Below are 17689 nucleotides of genomic sequence, written 5' to 3'. Positions count from 1 at the left end.
TTCTACTTCAAAGAGTGCTGCAGTGAATCACTCCATGTACTATATTCTTGTCAGTCTACCTTTGGGAAAGACTCCTCGGTGTGAGACTATTATGTCAAAGAATAAATGCATGTATGATTTTGTTAGATACTGCCAAACTCCTCTTCCTCTTTGTACCATTTTATATTCCCACCAAAAATGTATGAGAATGCCTGTTTGCTTGCAGCCTCACAAACAGAATATGTTGTCAAACTTTTGGATTTTTGCCAGTATGATTGGTAGGGTATCATAATCTATTGTAGTTTCACCTTACGTTTTTCTTATCAGTGAGGCCGATTATTATCCTTTCATATGGCTAAGAGCCCTTTGCCTTTTTCTAAGAACTGTCTTTTCAAATTCCTAACCCATTTTTCTACAAGTGGCTCACAAAGTGTAATCCCTAGTCTAGAGGCACCACTTGGGAATTTGTTAGAAATGCAAATTCTCGAGCCCCAAACCAAACCTACTGAACCAATAACTCTGGGGATAGCGTCCAGTAATGTGTGTTTTTACAAGCCCTGTAGGTGACACTGATACACTAAAGCTTGAGAAACACTGGGCTATAGGGTTGATTCAACCACCGTGTTTTAACATACCATAGGGCTGTCTAATTATTTTCTAATTAAACCAAGGCCAAACTGTTAATAAATTGTAGCTGAAAGATTCAAATGCCATGTGATATCCATTCATTCATTTGTTGATTCAATAATTAACCCATAGATGTTAAATACCTACTGTGAGTCAGTCACTGTGGCAGGCAATGAGGATGCTGTGTTAAAACAGACACAGTCACCACCCCCAGAAGCTTACCTTCCCCTGAGGAAGAACAAAATTAAATGAGCCAATTTAAGTCTTAACAAAGGGAACTGCAAGGTGCTGCTAGAGCAAGAGGTTCCAGCTAGTCTAGTGGTCAGGGAGATGCAAAGTAAAAGAACTTTGGGATAATACTTCACTCCCATCAAGCAGACCAAAATTCTAGAAAGGGATAACACCTATTCCTAGCAGGGATATGGGTGGAGCCTCTCTGAAAGGCAATCTATCCATATCTATTAATGCATCAAACAAAGCAACACCACTCCAGGGAACTAATCCCATAGAAACAATGCCACCCACTCAAGGCTGTTTATTGCAGCATTGTTTGTTGTGGCAAATACTGGTTGCAAAATGAATACCCACTAGTGAAGGAATGATTGAATAAATCATGGCATATCCACAGCATGCAGCCACTGAAAAGAATGAGCCCTACCATTGCCAAGGGTATTTCTATGACCTACATTGAGTAAGGAAAGCAACATGTAGAAAAATTGATATAATGCAGTCTCATTTAAAAATACCTATAAAACCCGTATGTTTACATATATATATACATTGATATGATGATACATTGATACAAGCATAGAAAAAATATGGAGGAATAAACACTGGTATGGATGAGCCATCTATGGTGAATTAGGGCTCAACATTCATTCTACCATCCTGATAAATTTGCCTTCTATAATGTAGAAAAAGAAAAGCTAGGAACAAGATACACAAACATCCCTGCAGGCAAATAGATGCACTTGTGGGAGGGATGGGAGGAGAAGCATAGCAGGGGCCACACTGATGCTGCCTCGGCACTTTCTGCTGACAAGCACCTGTGCTAGTTACACCTTTGAATCAGCTGAATTCTGCATGTCCAGTCACTAGCTTTGTGGGTATGCACAGGTGGGGCACAGGGATCAGTTTTGCTGGACTGAATCTGGCAGGCCCAGTGTGGCTCTAGAGCCAACCCTACCATGGGAGTAGTGGATCCATCCCTGGATCCTAGCTTTGGAGATGTGAGCCTAGAGCCAGCAGGAGCATGGCACTCCTGGACTGCTGCAGAGGCAGCACTTCTCTCTGGGGTTCTGGGGCTCATTCCTGGAGGCGCAGCCTGAAGCTTGCTATCCTACAGTCCTTGCGATGATATCGTCAGCACCCACTTCCCTGAGCCAAATGCCAGTTTGCTTAAAATAGCTTGGTTCTTGCTTTCTGAAACGGAAACTGTGTGATTCAAAGGGTTACCAGTCATGGGAAGAGTGAGAGGCAGTTACGAGAATTTAAACATGAATATATGAAAGTGCCTTAAAAGCAGTGGTATTATTGTTACTAACTATCATTTAATCAATCATCCCTTCTAAATAACTGATGTACACAGGGGCTTTCAAAAGACTTTTTATTAATGCAGAAAGGGCACTCCACCATGGAGCCTCTCCAAGGCACAAAGTCTTACCAGCGGGTGTGGAAGTGGATTTTGGCGCTGGAAGTAAACTCCTGCGGGGTGCTGTCACACTGGAGGATGCTGGAGGGGCCACCCGGCCGGCCCCCTTGGGTGTGTCCTTAGAAGGCAGAGATGCCTTCAGAACTGGCTGTTCTTCATTCCCAAAGGTTGAACCTGTGGGAGGCAGACAGCGTGTTAATTATAACTTCATGAAAAATGGATGGAGCCCTCACCATTTGCACTTGCCAACCAATCCTACTGCCGTCATCTGCTTTAGAACTTGACCTGATTCTTAGTGAGTGACCTTGAAAAGTATTTTTCTGGAACCCTATGTGGAAAAGAACTCCCTTTAGTCACTGCATAAATATCTGTCACACAAATCCCGTGCACTAAACGGGGCTCCACAAAAGCCAGGAGCAGCCTGCATGCACACACACACACACACACACACACACACAGACATACATACATACATGCACACACACACACAGTTCGCTTATGTGTATGTGCAAATGTATGTGTATATAATAAACACTTATTTGATAACTCAGAATGAAGAGCCTTTTATTTTTGAAATACAGCGTGAGTGACCCAGGAGAAGTGAGAATAGGAATATACACATGTACCATGAGCCCAGGAATTTTATTCAGAGATCCCTGAAATCTCGCTCATTTCACCTCCAGAAGAGGAGGCTTGGGATGAAGGTAGAGGGGTAGAGAGCATGGGGACGAGAGAATCTCTCTGAAACTCAAGCAGGCTTTCTGTTTGAAAAGCTGAGGCCTCACCAAACTGTGAGGACCCTGAATTACTTCCAAGGTAGAAGACATTTATTGATAATTGCAGTTTACTAGTCAATTTAGAAAGAGCCTCTTTGTTTATAATCCACTGCTCTGAGACTCTGAAGATATGGCATACTGGGATTGTGTTTGTGTCAAATTTAAATACGCAAAGTTGTTTGGCCTAAACTTTTCTTCTATATCTTTCTAAACCTTGTGGTTAATACATTTTCAATCTCTTAAAGACAATGACATCACTATCTATTCTCTGTTAAAGGGTAAGTCTTTCTAATATACTTCTGAGTACAGCTGTGAGGCTAATCTATTAATTCAGAGAGCCTGAATGCACGGAGATTACCACTTGTTTGGAATAAAACAGTCCAGTGGTAGGAATATGACCATCTACCATGAAAAATAAGCCATGACAGCTGGAAGAAGTATACAATATTTTAGTAAAGGATTAAATTTTTTGTTTTCATCCTTTTCAAAGGTTAGTCTAAACATTGTATTTAGATAAGGCCTGCATAAAAATGATAATATTATTAAAATGGCTTTAGTGTTCCTAACATCCAGGCATTTTATTCAACCATTTAGAGTAAGAGATTATTCTTTTTCTTTCTCTTAACACCTGAAATTCTGTTTAAAATTGTGGAGATTTCTGTTGTTTCTAAAGAAAAGCATATTTAGGAAGAAATCAAAGAATGCACCATTTCTTAAAACAGGACCTATGCCCTATAGTTCTTTTAAAGTGCTGTGCAAGGTTTTTAAAATAGTTCTGCATAGGACTAACAGAATATATTTGATCTATGCAAAGAAAATAAATGCATTGAAACTCCATTGAAAGGATCTGCACTGTATCCTGGGTGTCAGATAAAAAATAATGCAGATAAAAAATATGTTTGATGCAAACCTAACCAGGAAAAGCAACACCATGAACTTGCAAAAACAGTGAGCCTCAGCTTCTGAATTATCCAGTGGATGCACCAGTCCAGTGCTAGAACTCAGAGACTCTCTCAGGAATTGAATGATATTTTCACATGGGGCATGGCTCAACCACTAGAAATATTTCACAAGTAATTATCTAATGTCTAGCCTCCTGCTGACATACTGCCAGAATAATCTGTTCACTGAAATGTGTAGCAGAAGCTGAATTGAGCGCAAAATCTCTCACAGTCTTTTATTTAACAGTTTATGAAAATTTCTTAAGAAGAGAAATATTTTGTATCATCTGTAGAGTTCAAATGCACTTGTATCAAATCCTCTTGCATCTGGCATCATTCTCTTACATGAAATTTATTATTCTGTGAACACGTCAATTTAGAGATTTGGCTGCTCTCCAGGCTGGGAAGTAATTCATCTGTTTGAAGTACAAGTATCAGGGAACTATGTACTTCCCTCTGAGGGAGGGCTTGAATTACCAAAAAATAAAATAATATATAACACTATTCTTATCTATTATTATGGGAGACAGCTGGCAATAAACAGTTCCACTCTTTGAAAACTGGCTTAAGTTGGCTGGTAATTAAAGATGCATTATTCAGTAAATGAAAAATACTCTGAATTTGGAAATGGCTGTTCAATTCTATAAATGCTCCCAGTACTTCACAATAATGCTGACAACATTAAACCATTGCTTGGTAAGAGGAAGAAAACAACTGGAAATAAACTGCTTGTGTGAGCCAGAAAAATGTTCTGGAGAATTCAGCCAGTGGAAATGGTTCACATGGCTAATTCAGTCTTTTCATTCCCAACCAATCTGAACCGACTCCAGCCTGAACAACCCAGGAAATTTACCTACCCTTCCACTTGACCACAGCACAGAAGAAACATCAGCAAGGTGGTTAATGGTGCAGATCTGGGAGCAAGATGGCTAGGGTTTGAATACCACCTCCTCTACCTACCACCTCTCTTGCATCATAGTTTCTTCATTCATAAGCGGGGATAGTGATAATCTACCTCACAGAGCTGTTGTGAGAATTAAAGGAGCTAAAGCCAGGAAATTTTTTAAAAAGTTAATGTAAGAGTTGCTATGAAAAAATACTTAGTATCTGATATATAGTATGCTCTATGTGTTAGTTATTAATGTACATGCTAATTTTAAGTTCTAGGGCTAAGTTATTACAACAAGTCAGTTTTTCATGGGAAAACCATTTGGAAAGTATTCAAGGATTAATATCAGATGGGCTGCTCGACGTGAGAAGAAAGGAAAGGATTGAGGTAAATCTGATAATACCTGTAGGATGAAAGACTAAAGAGAAGAGTGAGAGTATGATTGTCTTAAAAATATATGATAAACGATTTCAGACATACAAAAAGGTGAGGATAACACAATTGACCATCAAGCTTAAGAAGTATGAAACATCATCAATTCCACTGACAGTGAAAAACTGCTGTGACACAGGGAAGTTTGCTCAGTTTCCTGGATATTCAAAATTGCTTTCCAAATTGCTTGTTGCGATTCACATTAACCAGAGATAGTAAATGTAGCATCACTGGATTTTAATTTTGGCAACTGTTTTAATTTTATTAACTGGTTTTAATTTATACCTTTCTGACAGGTGGCGAGGCTGAGATTTTTTTCACATAGTTATTGGCTACTCAAGTTTTTCTCTTCCATAAGATGCCCATTCATAACTTTTGCCCATAATTGAGGTGGTTAGCCTTACTTCTTTAAATAATCTGGACACATTCTTTATTGGATTCTGTATTGGGTATCAGTATATTGGATACTGATATATTTCAAATACTCTCCCAGTCTTTGGCTTGTCTTCACACTTATGGTGCCTTTATTGAGAACTTTCTCATTTTAATGCAACCCTCCTGATTTGTACTTTGCCTGTCTTAGACTTTCAATCTCTCTCCTGAAATCATAAAGATGTTCTCCTATGTACTGTTTGAAAAATTTTAAAGTTCTGTTTTCACATTTACATCATCAATCCACCTAGAATGTTACATGGGGAAGAGACTGAATTTGTTGGTGTTGTTTTCTATATAGCAGCCCGCTGTCCCAGGCCTGTATATTAAATAGTCTAAGTTCCTTGCATTATCTGCCAAGCCAGCTGTTATATGCCAAGTTTCCATTCAAACATGATTTATTGGGGCAGACCCATAAACAACCCCAAAATTTCAGTACTTAACATAGCAAAAGTTTAATTTGTGATCATGAATCATCTTTTGCAGGTGCTCTGGATGGGCTGCTGCCTTGCATGCTCTCCTTGGATGAATTCAGGGACCAAAGCTCTCTTCATCTTGAGCTTTTGCCCTACTCTAGATCTCTTGAGAACTTAACAGTCAGCTGGTAGACAGAGGAAAGTGAACCGTTCACAGGAAAATTTCATGGGCCATGCCTGGAAGTGGCGTGTATCACTCCTGCCTTCAGTCTACTGGCTGGAACTCAGTCACAAAAGCCATCAAGGGAGGCTGGGAAATGTACTTTAGTTTATGTCCAGGGGAAAAGGGAGTGGTGTGATGAACAAATATCCACTGTCTGCCACGTGAGGCTCCATTTCTGAGTTCTCTATTCCGTTTCATTGGTCTATTTGTCTATCACCGTGCCAATGCCATACTGCATTTATTCACTACAATGTAAGATCAGTCCTGGTATACTAAACCTGTATAAGACAAATATCACAACCTTGAACTTTTACTTTAAAAATTGTCCTAACTATCTTTGGCCCTTTACTTTTGCATATAAGTTCCAGAATCAGCTTGTTAAGTTCCATGAAAAATGTCAACATTTTCAATGGACACAATTAAGTCTTCTTTTTCCGACTGCAACATAACTGAAAGAAAAGGAAGCACAGATGTAAAATCAGCAAACATGCTGAGTAATAATTATACCCTAGGACCACGTTACATGATAGAGATACAAAGAAGGCTTAGTATCATGAAAAAATAAACATCAAAACAAGTGTCTCCAAAGAGGGGCAGCACTACTCCACTGGGGATCAACATTTATGAGGATATTTTGGACTGAGGCAAGGCTGGCAGTTAGTGGGTGGCACTGTCAATACCTCTGTTTAGAAGACATGCAGAAATGTAAGAGACCATAGAGAACAGAGATTAATAACTGTTAGTTGAAGGGTATGAAGTAGGGAGAAGAGGCATTTCCAGTAAACAATCATATGTCATTGAGAGAATTTCCCTATATTATTCTTTTTTCTTATTTATTTATTTATTCATTTATTTATTTATTTATTTATTTGAGACGGAGTCTCCCTCTGTCCACCAGGCTGGAGTGCAGTGGCACGGTCTCGACTCACTGCAACCTCTGCCTCCTGAGTTCCAGTGATTTCCCTGCCTCGTCCTCCCCAGTAGCTGGGACTACAGGCGCCCACCACCATGGCTGGCTAATGTTTGTATTTTTAGTAGAGATGGGGTTTCACCATGTTGGCCAGGCTGGTCTTGAACTCCTGACCTCAGGTGATCCACCCACCTCGGCCTCCCAAAGTGCTGGGATTACAGGCATGAGCCACCGTGCCCAGCCCCCTATACTATTCTTAAATATTGAGCTGGTTGGTGGCCAGCTCATTCTCCTTAATTCCCTTCCTGTGCCCATGCCAGCGGGACACTCTACTTCCATCACACCATTTTCCCCAAAGGATGAAGGTATTCCACTGCTCACAGGAACTAAAGGACTATAGCCTCTTGCTTCACTGCTGAACAGTGGTCATCTTCTGTAGATATCTGAATCATCACATCATCAACTTACCATTTGCAAGGTAAGATCCCTTCATTAGAGTAAAATAAAAGGTATATATATGACTGAAAAATTGCAAGGTTATATATTCCGCATGATTACAGAATCCAGCTGGGTCCAGTTCAATACATGAACCGAATCTCTCTACAATTTTCTCATTAAACTGTTAGGACAAAATGCTCTTTCAGCATCAAATCCTCGGGGAATGCAATCTTATTCTTCCTCCAGGGACAGTTCCTACAGTTCATTCCTCACAGTGTGTGGACACCCTGAGCTGATCAACTGCATCTATCAAAATCTCATGTAGTTGAACTCCTACCTCACACCATAATTTGTTTTAAATTAGCAAAAACTAATTTAAAATAGATCTTAGACCTAAATGTAAGAGCTAAAAATATATAACTCTTAGAAGAAAACAAAGGTGTAAATGTGAATGATCTTGGATTAGGCAATTGTTTCTTAGATGTGACACCTAAAGCTCAAACAAGTTGAGAAGAAGACATATATCCCACTCCTAAGTACATACCCAAAAGAAAAGAAATCAGTGTATTGAAGAGATCTCTGCATTCCCATGTTTGTTGCAGCACTATTCACAACTGCCAAAATTTGGAAGCAACCGAAGTGTCCATCAATAGGTGAATGGATAAAGAAAATGTGGTACATCTATACAATGGAGAACTATTCAGCCATAAAAAAGAATGGAGCCCTGTCATTTGCAACAACAGCTATGGAGCTGGAGGTCATTATATTAAGTGAAGTAAGCCAGACACAGAAAGACAAACTTCCCATGTTCTCACTTATCTATGGAAGCTAAAAATTAAAACAACTGAACACATACAGATAAGAGTACAAGGATGGTTATTAGAAGCTGGAAGGGTAGTGGTGGGTGGGAGCAGAGGGAGTAGGGATGGTTAATGGGTACAAAAAATAGAATAAATAAGACCTAGTATTTACTAGGATAACAGGGTGACTATAATTAAAATAATTTAATTATACATTTAAAAATAACTAAAAGAGTATAACTAGATTGTTTATAACACAAAGAATAAATGTCTGAGATAATGGATACCCCATTTACCTGATTTGATTATTATGCATTGCATGCCTGTATCAAAATATCTCATGTAACCCATAAATATACATACTTACTATGTATCCACAAAAATTAAAAATAAAAATATTAACAAAGAGTTTTTAAATCTAAAAAACAATAAAACTTAAGAAGAAGTGAATGGACTGCAATGAAATAAAAAATTTGTGCTTCAGAGGACACTATTTAAAAAGTCAAAAGGACTCAGAATTGGGGAAAATATTTGCAAGTCATATCTGATAACGGTCTGGTATACAAAATATATAAAGAATTTTTATAGGCTGGGCATGATGGCTCACACCTGTAATCTCAGCACTTTGGGAGGCCAAGGCAGGAGAATTGCTTGAGGCCAGAGTTTGAGACTAGCCTAGGCAACATAGTGAGACCCTGTCTCTACAAAAAATTTAAAAAAAAATTAGCTGGGGCATGGTGGTACACACCTATAGTCCCAGCTACTTGGGAGGCTGGAGCTGGAGGATCTCTGGACCCCAGGAGGTCAAGGTTGCAGTGAGTTGTGATCACACCACTGCACTCCAGCCTGGGTGATAAAGTGAGACCCCATTTCAAAAACAAAAAGAATTTTTATAAACTCAATAAAAAGCCAAATAACCCAATTAAAAATGAGAAAGGGATTTGAATAAACATTTCTCCAAACAAGATATACAAATGGGAAATAAGTACATGAAAAGGTGTTCACTTGTCATTAGGGAAATGCAGATCAAAACCACAATGAGATACCACTTCAAACCCAGCAGAATAGCTATAATAAAAATATAGACAATAAAAAGTATTGATAGGGATGTGGAGAAACTGGAATCTTCATACATTGCTATGGGAGTATAAAATGGTGCAGCTGCTTTGGAGAAAAGGTTGGTAGTTTCTCAATGTGTTAAACATAGAGTTGGCCAGGCGTGGTGGCTCACACCTCTAATCCCAGCACTTTGGGAGGCGGAGGCAGGCAGATCACAAGGTCAGGAGATCGAGACCATCCTGACTAACACGGTGAAACCCCGTCTCTACTAAAAATACAAAAAATTAGCCAGTTGTGGCGGGCACCTGTAGTCTCAGCTACTCGGGAGGCTGAGGCAAGAGAATGGCGTGAACCTGGGAGGTGGAGCTGGCAGCAAGCCGAGACCACAACACTGCACTCCAGCCTGGGTGACAGAGCGAGACTCTGTCTCAAAAACAAACAAACAAACAAACAAACAAAACAAAAAACAAACAGAACAAAAAACCCCATAGAGTTACCATGTGATTTACCAGTTCTGTTCCTAAGTATATGCTCAAGAAAACTGAAAACATATGTTCACATAAAAGCTTGTACATGAATGTTCATAGCAACATTATTCACAAGTCAAAAAGTGAAAACTACCCAAATGGCCCCCCATCGACTGATGAATGAATACACTAAATATGGTATATCCATACCATGGAACATTATTCAGCCATAAGAAGAAATGAAGTAATGATACATGCTATATACCATGCATGAATCCTGAAAACATTTACAAAAGGACAAATATTATATAATTACATTTATATGAAATGTCCAGAATAGACAGAGAGACAGAAAGTTGATGAGTGGCTTTCAGGGGCTGAAGGGAAGTGGAGTGACTGCTAATTGATTCAGGGTTTCCTTCTGGGGTGATTAAATATGTTCTCGAATTAAATAGGGGTGATATTGCATAACCTTGTGAATATACTGAAAGTCACTAAATTATACACTTTAAAGAGGTAAATTTTACGGTACTTGAATTATGTCTTTAAGAAAAATCTCAAAAGATTTTTTTCTCTAGATCCCCTGGCTGGAACAAGTTCCTTAAATTGTGATTCAGCTCTTCACCTCTCCCCTGAGAGACTCCTAGTGTTCTTTTCTGGTGAAGTGTTTATTCCTATTCTCTGTCCCCTATCCCTGCATTGTGACTACAGTGGATTCCAACCAATCTGTCCCAGGGTTGTTCTGTCTTCTGATAACATATTCTTACATAATACTTAAAAAAGCATTCCTGAAACCTACTATTGCATCCCATTCATTAAAGCAAAATGACCAAGCTCCTATGTAAGGAGGGTGATACTCAGTTCCTCCTTAAACCCCTTCACTTTTCTTATACTCCTGCAGAATCAGGTGTAAGTCTGAGCTGCTCTGGTCCTACATTACTGTTATGGTTTGAATGTGTCTCCTCCAACATTCAGATGTTGCCAATGTGATAGTATTAAGAGATGGGGGCTTAAAGGTGATTGGGCTATGAGGGCTCTTCCCTCATGAATGGGATTAAGGCCCTTATCAAAGAGGCTTCATATTGCCTTTGGCACCTGGACCTTCCTCCCTGTTTCCACATTCCTTCTGCCATATGAGGACACAAAGTTCTTCCCCTCAGAGGGTGCAGCCCTCAATAGACAACCAAATCTGTCAGCCCCTTGATCTTGGACTTCACAGTCTCCAGAACTGTGAGAAAGTAAGTTTCTGTTCTGTATTAATTACCCAGTCTATGGTATTTTGTTATAGCAGCACAAAGAAAACTAAGACAGCTGCTGAAAAAGGAAGACACATGCAAATTCAGGCCAGAGAAGCCTGTGCTAAGGGAAGAAAACTCTCTTGTAAAATTTTTGGGACTGTGGGGAGGAAGGTAGTTTTATAGGTCACTTGATATCCCCCTACAAAGTAATGAGTGATTCCTACTCAACCTCCTCAAAAGGATAACTGACTGTGACTGACGTTCGAGTGAGAACTTAGGGCTTCTGATCCATATTCAGTGCACTTTTCACTACTTCATTTATTAGGAATACCAATAACTCAGCCTAAACTCCCAAAAGAAATAATGGCAACAGGGTATAAACACTAACCAGACCAAAATGAGGTTCTCAAGGAAGAGGAAGGCTGCAGAAGAAAAGCAAAACAGTCATTAATAAGAAGATGGCATCATAGCCAAACTCTAAGAAATGAGTTTCGCTGACTTTGGATATCAATATTATAATCATTAAACTACTCTCTTCACTGATTTTTTTTAACAATCCTAGGCAATCAAATTGTATAATGTTCCAGCTGCATGATTAGCTAACTGATGCATATTTCATTGACTTAGCAGCATTTATCACTTGGTGATAATATTTAGTTTAATTATTAAAGTATCAACTGAATGTTTTATTTCCCCATTCTGCATATTTTAACCGAAGTGTATATTTTCTTTCTCACATTAAAGGCCTAAAGTAAACCTGAGATCTTGCCATTGCCACAAAGCTATTTATTTCTTTTTCAAAATGAAATATTTGACTAAGAAAAGTTGAGATACCACAGAGAAAACGTTAGATATGAAAAGTTTCAAATTCTGGATCTCTTTCAAAGAGGAAGCATTAAGACTAAGAGTGAGGGGAAAGTTTTAAAAGATGGCTTAAGCACAATAAACCCTCACAGCAAGCTTTGGTGCTTATATAAATCCTTACATCATCTATCCACAAAACATTGATTGGTCACCCTTGATGTTTGAGGCACTGTGCTAAACCTCAGGGATAAGGACATGAGGGGTCTGGCCTATAATCCCCAGAAGTTCATATTTCATGTGACTGTGTCTATTTGCAGAAATTCAGGAAAGATACAGTAAGCATCGAGCAAATGCTGGCTGATGTTATTGTTATAAACCCGCACTTGGCAAATCACTGATGAACACACGAGCTGCTTGGTCCAGCAAAGGAACAAGACAGAAACACAAACTCCAATAAACAGGAAGAAAGTGAGCATATCTTAACAGCACCAAGAAAGAACAAGAAGAGCTCAGCCCAAGGGGATATGCGAAGGTACTAACAGAGACACTCCAGGTGGGTTTTGACAGTTAGGTGAGACTTGGATCTGTAAAGACAGGGAAAAACTGTGAAGGAGAAGGGATGGCATGAGTAAAGACCCAGCATTAAGGAAGTGCATGATTGGCAAGCAGTCTGGTTTGGTTGAAGAGTAAAATTCGGGAGGAAAAATGGAAAATTCAGGAAGAAAGATAGATGGAAGAAGACAGTAGCAGACTCCTCTCATAACCTCTCACTCATCCACCTTCACTCAGAAGCTGTTGCAGGGACAGAAAGTACAAGTTAGGCCCTAATTAGAAGAAGTTGCCAATGGTGGATGCTGGCAGAAACCGAGAGAAGAGGAATCCTTTACTAGGAGATCAGGAAGCCAGAATGCATTTCAAAGATTTATTTCCAGTCCTATTTTTAAAGGCATAGACTAGAAGGATGCTTAAGGTTACAGGCCCCAGAAGAATTTGAAATAAAGAAGAGGATATCTTTAACTTTAAATTTCTAATTTTACTTTCAATAGCAGAATGCCTCTGAAACTCTTCAGTTTACAAACTTAGTTGGGTAAAGTCAATAACATTTACAAGGGACAGAGAAGACGCTCTCTGATGGTGACAGGTAACAAGGAAGATCCCCGGGCTTGCCCTCAGAGCATGCCACAGCTCCCTGATGCGGCTCATGTGCCCGCCATCTGCTCAGGTGGCTGTGTGCCTGTCAGAGGGCCGTGCCAGCTTCAATAGCAATCAGATGCCACCAGATGCAGGATAAGGAGCAGCAGCTGCTCGACAGAAAGGGCCTTGTGATGCTGAGAGCTCACAGGGCCAGCCACACGAGCTTCCATACACAGGGAGCGTGTGCTCATGCTCGGGGCATGGTACCAGCCCCACGTGCCTGTCCACATTGTTCCTCCCCATAGGGAGAGATGAAACTTCAGAGAACTAGAAACTCAGAGAATGCCAGAGGGAGACCTCAAAGAGGGGGAGTTCCCATTTGTGCCTCTCCACCTCCATCCCTTTTCCCAGAGAGCTTCTCTCTGCTGAACTGCTTAGCCCTCAGGGATTTGCCGGCACTAAACTGTGCTTGGCTCTGACTCGCTTGGCTCTGAGAAGTAGTGCTAGAAGCTTGCTCATGTTTTGTGACAGGCATGCGGCAGAGGATGCTGTCCACCGCGTCTGAGACCTCCCTTTGGGGCCAGACTCCTCCTGAGGGGGGTGCTTTACCTCAGGGGCACCATGAATCTTTCAACACATGGTTTTTTGCTCTTTGATTTGGCTGCCTCTAGCAGGTCCCTGTGGTAGGCATTTTTAAAATGGTGGTAAAAGCACTTAATAACAGACCTGCCCTCTTAAATGGCAAGTGTGCAATCCTGCTTTGTTAACTCGAGGCATAAACCTGTACAGCAGCTCTCTAGAATGTATTCATGCTGCATACATGAAACTTTATACCCAACGAACGGCAGCACCCCCACCTCCCCTTCCTGTAGCCCCTGGCAACCACCATTCCACTCTCTGCTTCTATGAGTTTGACCTTTTTAGATACCCCATGTAGTTGAGATCACACAGTATCTGTGCTTCTGTGACTGGCTTATTTCACTTAGGATAATGTCCTCAAAATTCATCTATGTTGTCAAAAATGGCAGATTTCTCTTCTTTTTCAAAGGCCCTATGGTATTCTGCTTTACGTAGATACCACATTTAAAGACAATCCATTCATCTGTTGATATTCGTTTCCACATCGTGACTATTATGAATAGTGCCACAATGAACATGAGAGTGTAAATATCTCTTTGAGACCCCGATTTCAATGCTTTTGAGTATATACCCAGAAGTGGGACTGCTGGGTCATATGGTAGTTCTAGTGTTAATTTTTCAAGGAACCAGTGAACTGTTTTCCATAATGGCTGCACCATTTTACACGCTCACCGACAGTATACAAAGGTTCCTATTTCTCCACATCTTCACCAACATGTGTTATCTTTTGTCCTTTTAATAAGAGCCATCCTAACAGGTGTTAAATGTTATCTTTGTGGTGTGGTATTCATTTTGGATGTGCTGATGTTAACTCTGGCTTCGTATCATTTTCTTACCTTTGTTATTTCTTCCCATGATTTCCTTATCTATTTTTTTAAATTTTACTTTATTTTTTGAAACTTGAGGAATGTAAAACCAATAAAGCTGTCCCTGATTTACATTCTCAATCCCTCAAATCTCAGTTGCCTTTTAGGAAAGAGCAATGATGGCTTAAGACAAATTAGCAGACTTTTATCCACTCTCCAGTAGGGAAAGGCAGATTCTTCTCCAGGAAGAGATTGAGTTATGAATCTGACCTAAGGACAAATGGGCACTGGGGAATGACTGTCAGTTGTTAAGCTAATATTCTGTCAAATTTAATTCTGACCTGACTATATTCATTAATTTTATTATACTAGTTACTGAGCATGTTCCTGAGACACTGTTCTGCTCCTGTCCTGCCCCTGTCCAATTCTGGAGCTCATATTCTTGTAGTTGGGGATAGACAATAAATATAAAATAGCATAAAGAGAGGACAAGGCAGGAGGATTGCTTGGAGCCAGGAGTTTGAGACCAGCCTGGGAAACATAGGGAGACCCTGTCTCTACAAAAAATAAAAAATGTAAAAAGCTGGGCATGGTGGTGCACCTGTAGCCCCAGCTACTCAGGAGGCTGAGGTAGGAGGATTGCTGAAGCCTAGGAGTTTGAGGCTGCAGTGAGCTATGATCGCACAACTGGACTGTTGCCTGGGATCCTGGACAACACAGAGAGACCCTGCCTCCAAGAAAGAAATAGAATCATTACGGAATAGAATTCCACAGTATGCTATACAGTGCAAAATGCCATGAAAAAAAACAAAGCAGAGTGTGGGGTAGATGTTGTGACCTGGGGAAGGCCTCACCATGGAGGGCTGTGGAAAGATAAGACTGGAAGGAGGTGAGGGAGAAGACAAGAGAAGAATGAGGGCAGGGCTCGGGCCAGCAAAGGGACGAGCATGGCTGCCACAGACAGGAGGAGGAGAAAGCAGAGCATTTGATCTGAATGGTGATGAGGAGGACTTGGAGGGACTCGGGAGCATCGTGAAGACTCGACTTTCACACACACAGAGTAAAACGGGAGTCATTGGAGGGACACGGCTTGACCCTCAGTCTCTCCCTGTCCCTTGACTCCCTCCTAAAACTGAGCTGAGCATCCTTTATCTATTTTCTCAAAAGGCCTCTTCCTCAAATCCGCTGTCCATCTCAAAAAACATTCTCTTTTCTATTTCACAAAAACTTTCAAAGAGCTTATTGTCCCTTCCTCATTCTTGCTACTCATTCATTCCTTAAATCTGATGCCTATCACACACCGGGGCCTGTCAGGGGGTGGGGAACTAGGGGAGGGAGAGCATTAGGAGAAATACCTAATGTAGATGACGAGTTGATGGGTGCAGCAAACCACCATGACACGTGTATACTTATGTAACAAACCTGCACGTTCTGCACATGTACCCCAGAACCTAAAGTATATTAAAAAAATCTGATGTCTACCTTCAGATTACCTTCCTTAGGATTCTAAATGATCTCTTAGTTACCAAATACAACAGTCTTTCACCTGTTTTCATTTTCCCAGCTGGTGTGCAGCACCAGAAGCTTCTGAGCACCCCCACTTCCTTTGACTCAGTGGCCCCTTCCTGTCTCCCACCACCCTTTCTTTCTCATTCACTGGATGTCCTTTCTCCCCACAACCCTCGGATGCAGGCCTCCCTGCTGGTCCACAGACTTTCTTTTCTTTTCCTACACCCTCTCCTTTAGGGGCTTCATCCCTTAGATCTCGTGATATCAACCATGAACCCATGTGATTCCCACATGGTCATAGAGAATCCCAGCCCATCTTCAAGGAATCAGTCCCACATTGTAATGTGCCCGCTGGAACAACCTGGTGAACTTTCAAACTCTACATGTTTACTTATTCAATTCATGCATTTATTCAATAAACAACTGCTGATAGCTCTGGGTCAGGCCCTGCCCTAGGTAGGGGACACAGGGAAAATGTGGGCCTGTCTTCACATAACTTACATTGCAGCAGGGGTAACAGGCCACAAACAAGTCCAGACAAAATCACCACACACTGTGATTTGTTATGAAAGAAACACAAGGGACAGAACTAGAGAAGGCACTCAAGGGTGGACGAGGGGAAACCCACTTTGGAAGGCGTGGTTGGGAGGACCTCTTGGAGGAGTTGGCATTTACAACAAACATTCCTCTCAGCTGCGCCCACCTCCTTTATGCATTATTGATATCGTTATAGAAACCTAGAAACAAAGCATCAGAATCATTCTTGAACATATCTTCCCTTTGTATATACCAATGCAAGTCAGTATGCTTGTTTCCCTCATGGACTTCACATATAAATCCCCCCTCTGCTCCTGTGATGGGCACCAGGTTAGCCCTTAGTGCCTCTTGCTGAGACAATGCCACCAGCTCTTCTTCCCCGGCTCTTTCATTTAGATCCTCCTCCTCCCTGTGCCTGTCATTCAGTCTGAAGCACAGATGACTCAACGTAGTCTTCTAAATAAAGTCCAAACTGTTCTTTCTGGTATCTGAATCTTTCCCATCTGATTTCCTGCTACCACATCAGGCACAGTGTAAACCCCAGGCAGGTAGGATTCCATCCCGTGGCTTCCTGTCCTACTTACTTCATACAAGGCTGTGCTTGAGACGTCCGCTGTCCAAGCAGATAAATTACTGGCTGCAAATCTGTCCCAGGGGGCCACTTCCTATCATAGCCACATATTTTTCCCAGTTCTTGAACCCCAGACTCTCTAAAAGCTTCACACTTTTTGCAACTGCTCCTGGGAATGTAGTCACAGTGGGCATGACCGAGGTGGGCCATGTATAGTTTAAAAGTTAGGGATGATCTATAATATAGTATGATCATTTTCTAAAATTTTTGAAAACAATATGCAGGAAGATAAAAATCAGAGTTTATCAAAATTTAATGGTTTTATTTGGTGTGTGGGGGGGATAATTTCTGCCAAAGCACCACTACTCTTTCCCCCAAGAGAGGGTGCCATTTACCTAATAATTTTCTTCT

The 17689-nt window shown here is 40.8% G+C and overlaps 1 protein-coding gene across 13 annotated transcripts in view; it reads right to left on the bottom strand.

The window, feature by feature from the left end:
- Positions 1-17689, bottom strand: part of MTUS2 (microtubule associated scaffold protein 2) — a 685985-nt gene that overhangs the window by 221813 nt on the left and 446483 nt on the right. For 12 of the 13 annotated variants that reach the window (XM_047430227.1, NM_001384605.1, XM_011535019.4 and 9 more), the window contains one exon: positions 2270-2431. In XM_047430227.1, coding sequence (XP_047286183.1) covers positions 2270-2431 — 162 coding nt within the window. Of the gene's footprint in view, positions 1-2269; positions 2432-17689 lie in introns of those variants that run through there. The other variant, XM_017020501.3, reaches the window with a different exon arrangement.

Source organism: Homo sapiens, chromosome 13 (genome assembly GCF_000001405.40).
Source record: "Homo sapiens chromosome 13, GRCh38.p14 Primary Assembly".
Taxonomy (NCBI): Eukaryota; Metazoa; Chordata; class Mammalia; order Primates; family Hominidae; genus Homo; species Homo sapiens.
Note: the sequence above shows the minus strand (reverse complement) of the source record. Positions and strands in the feature narration are given on the sequence as shown.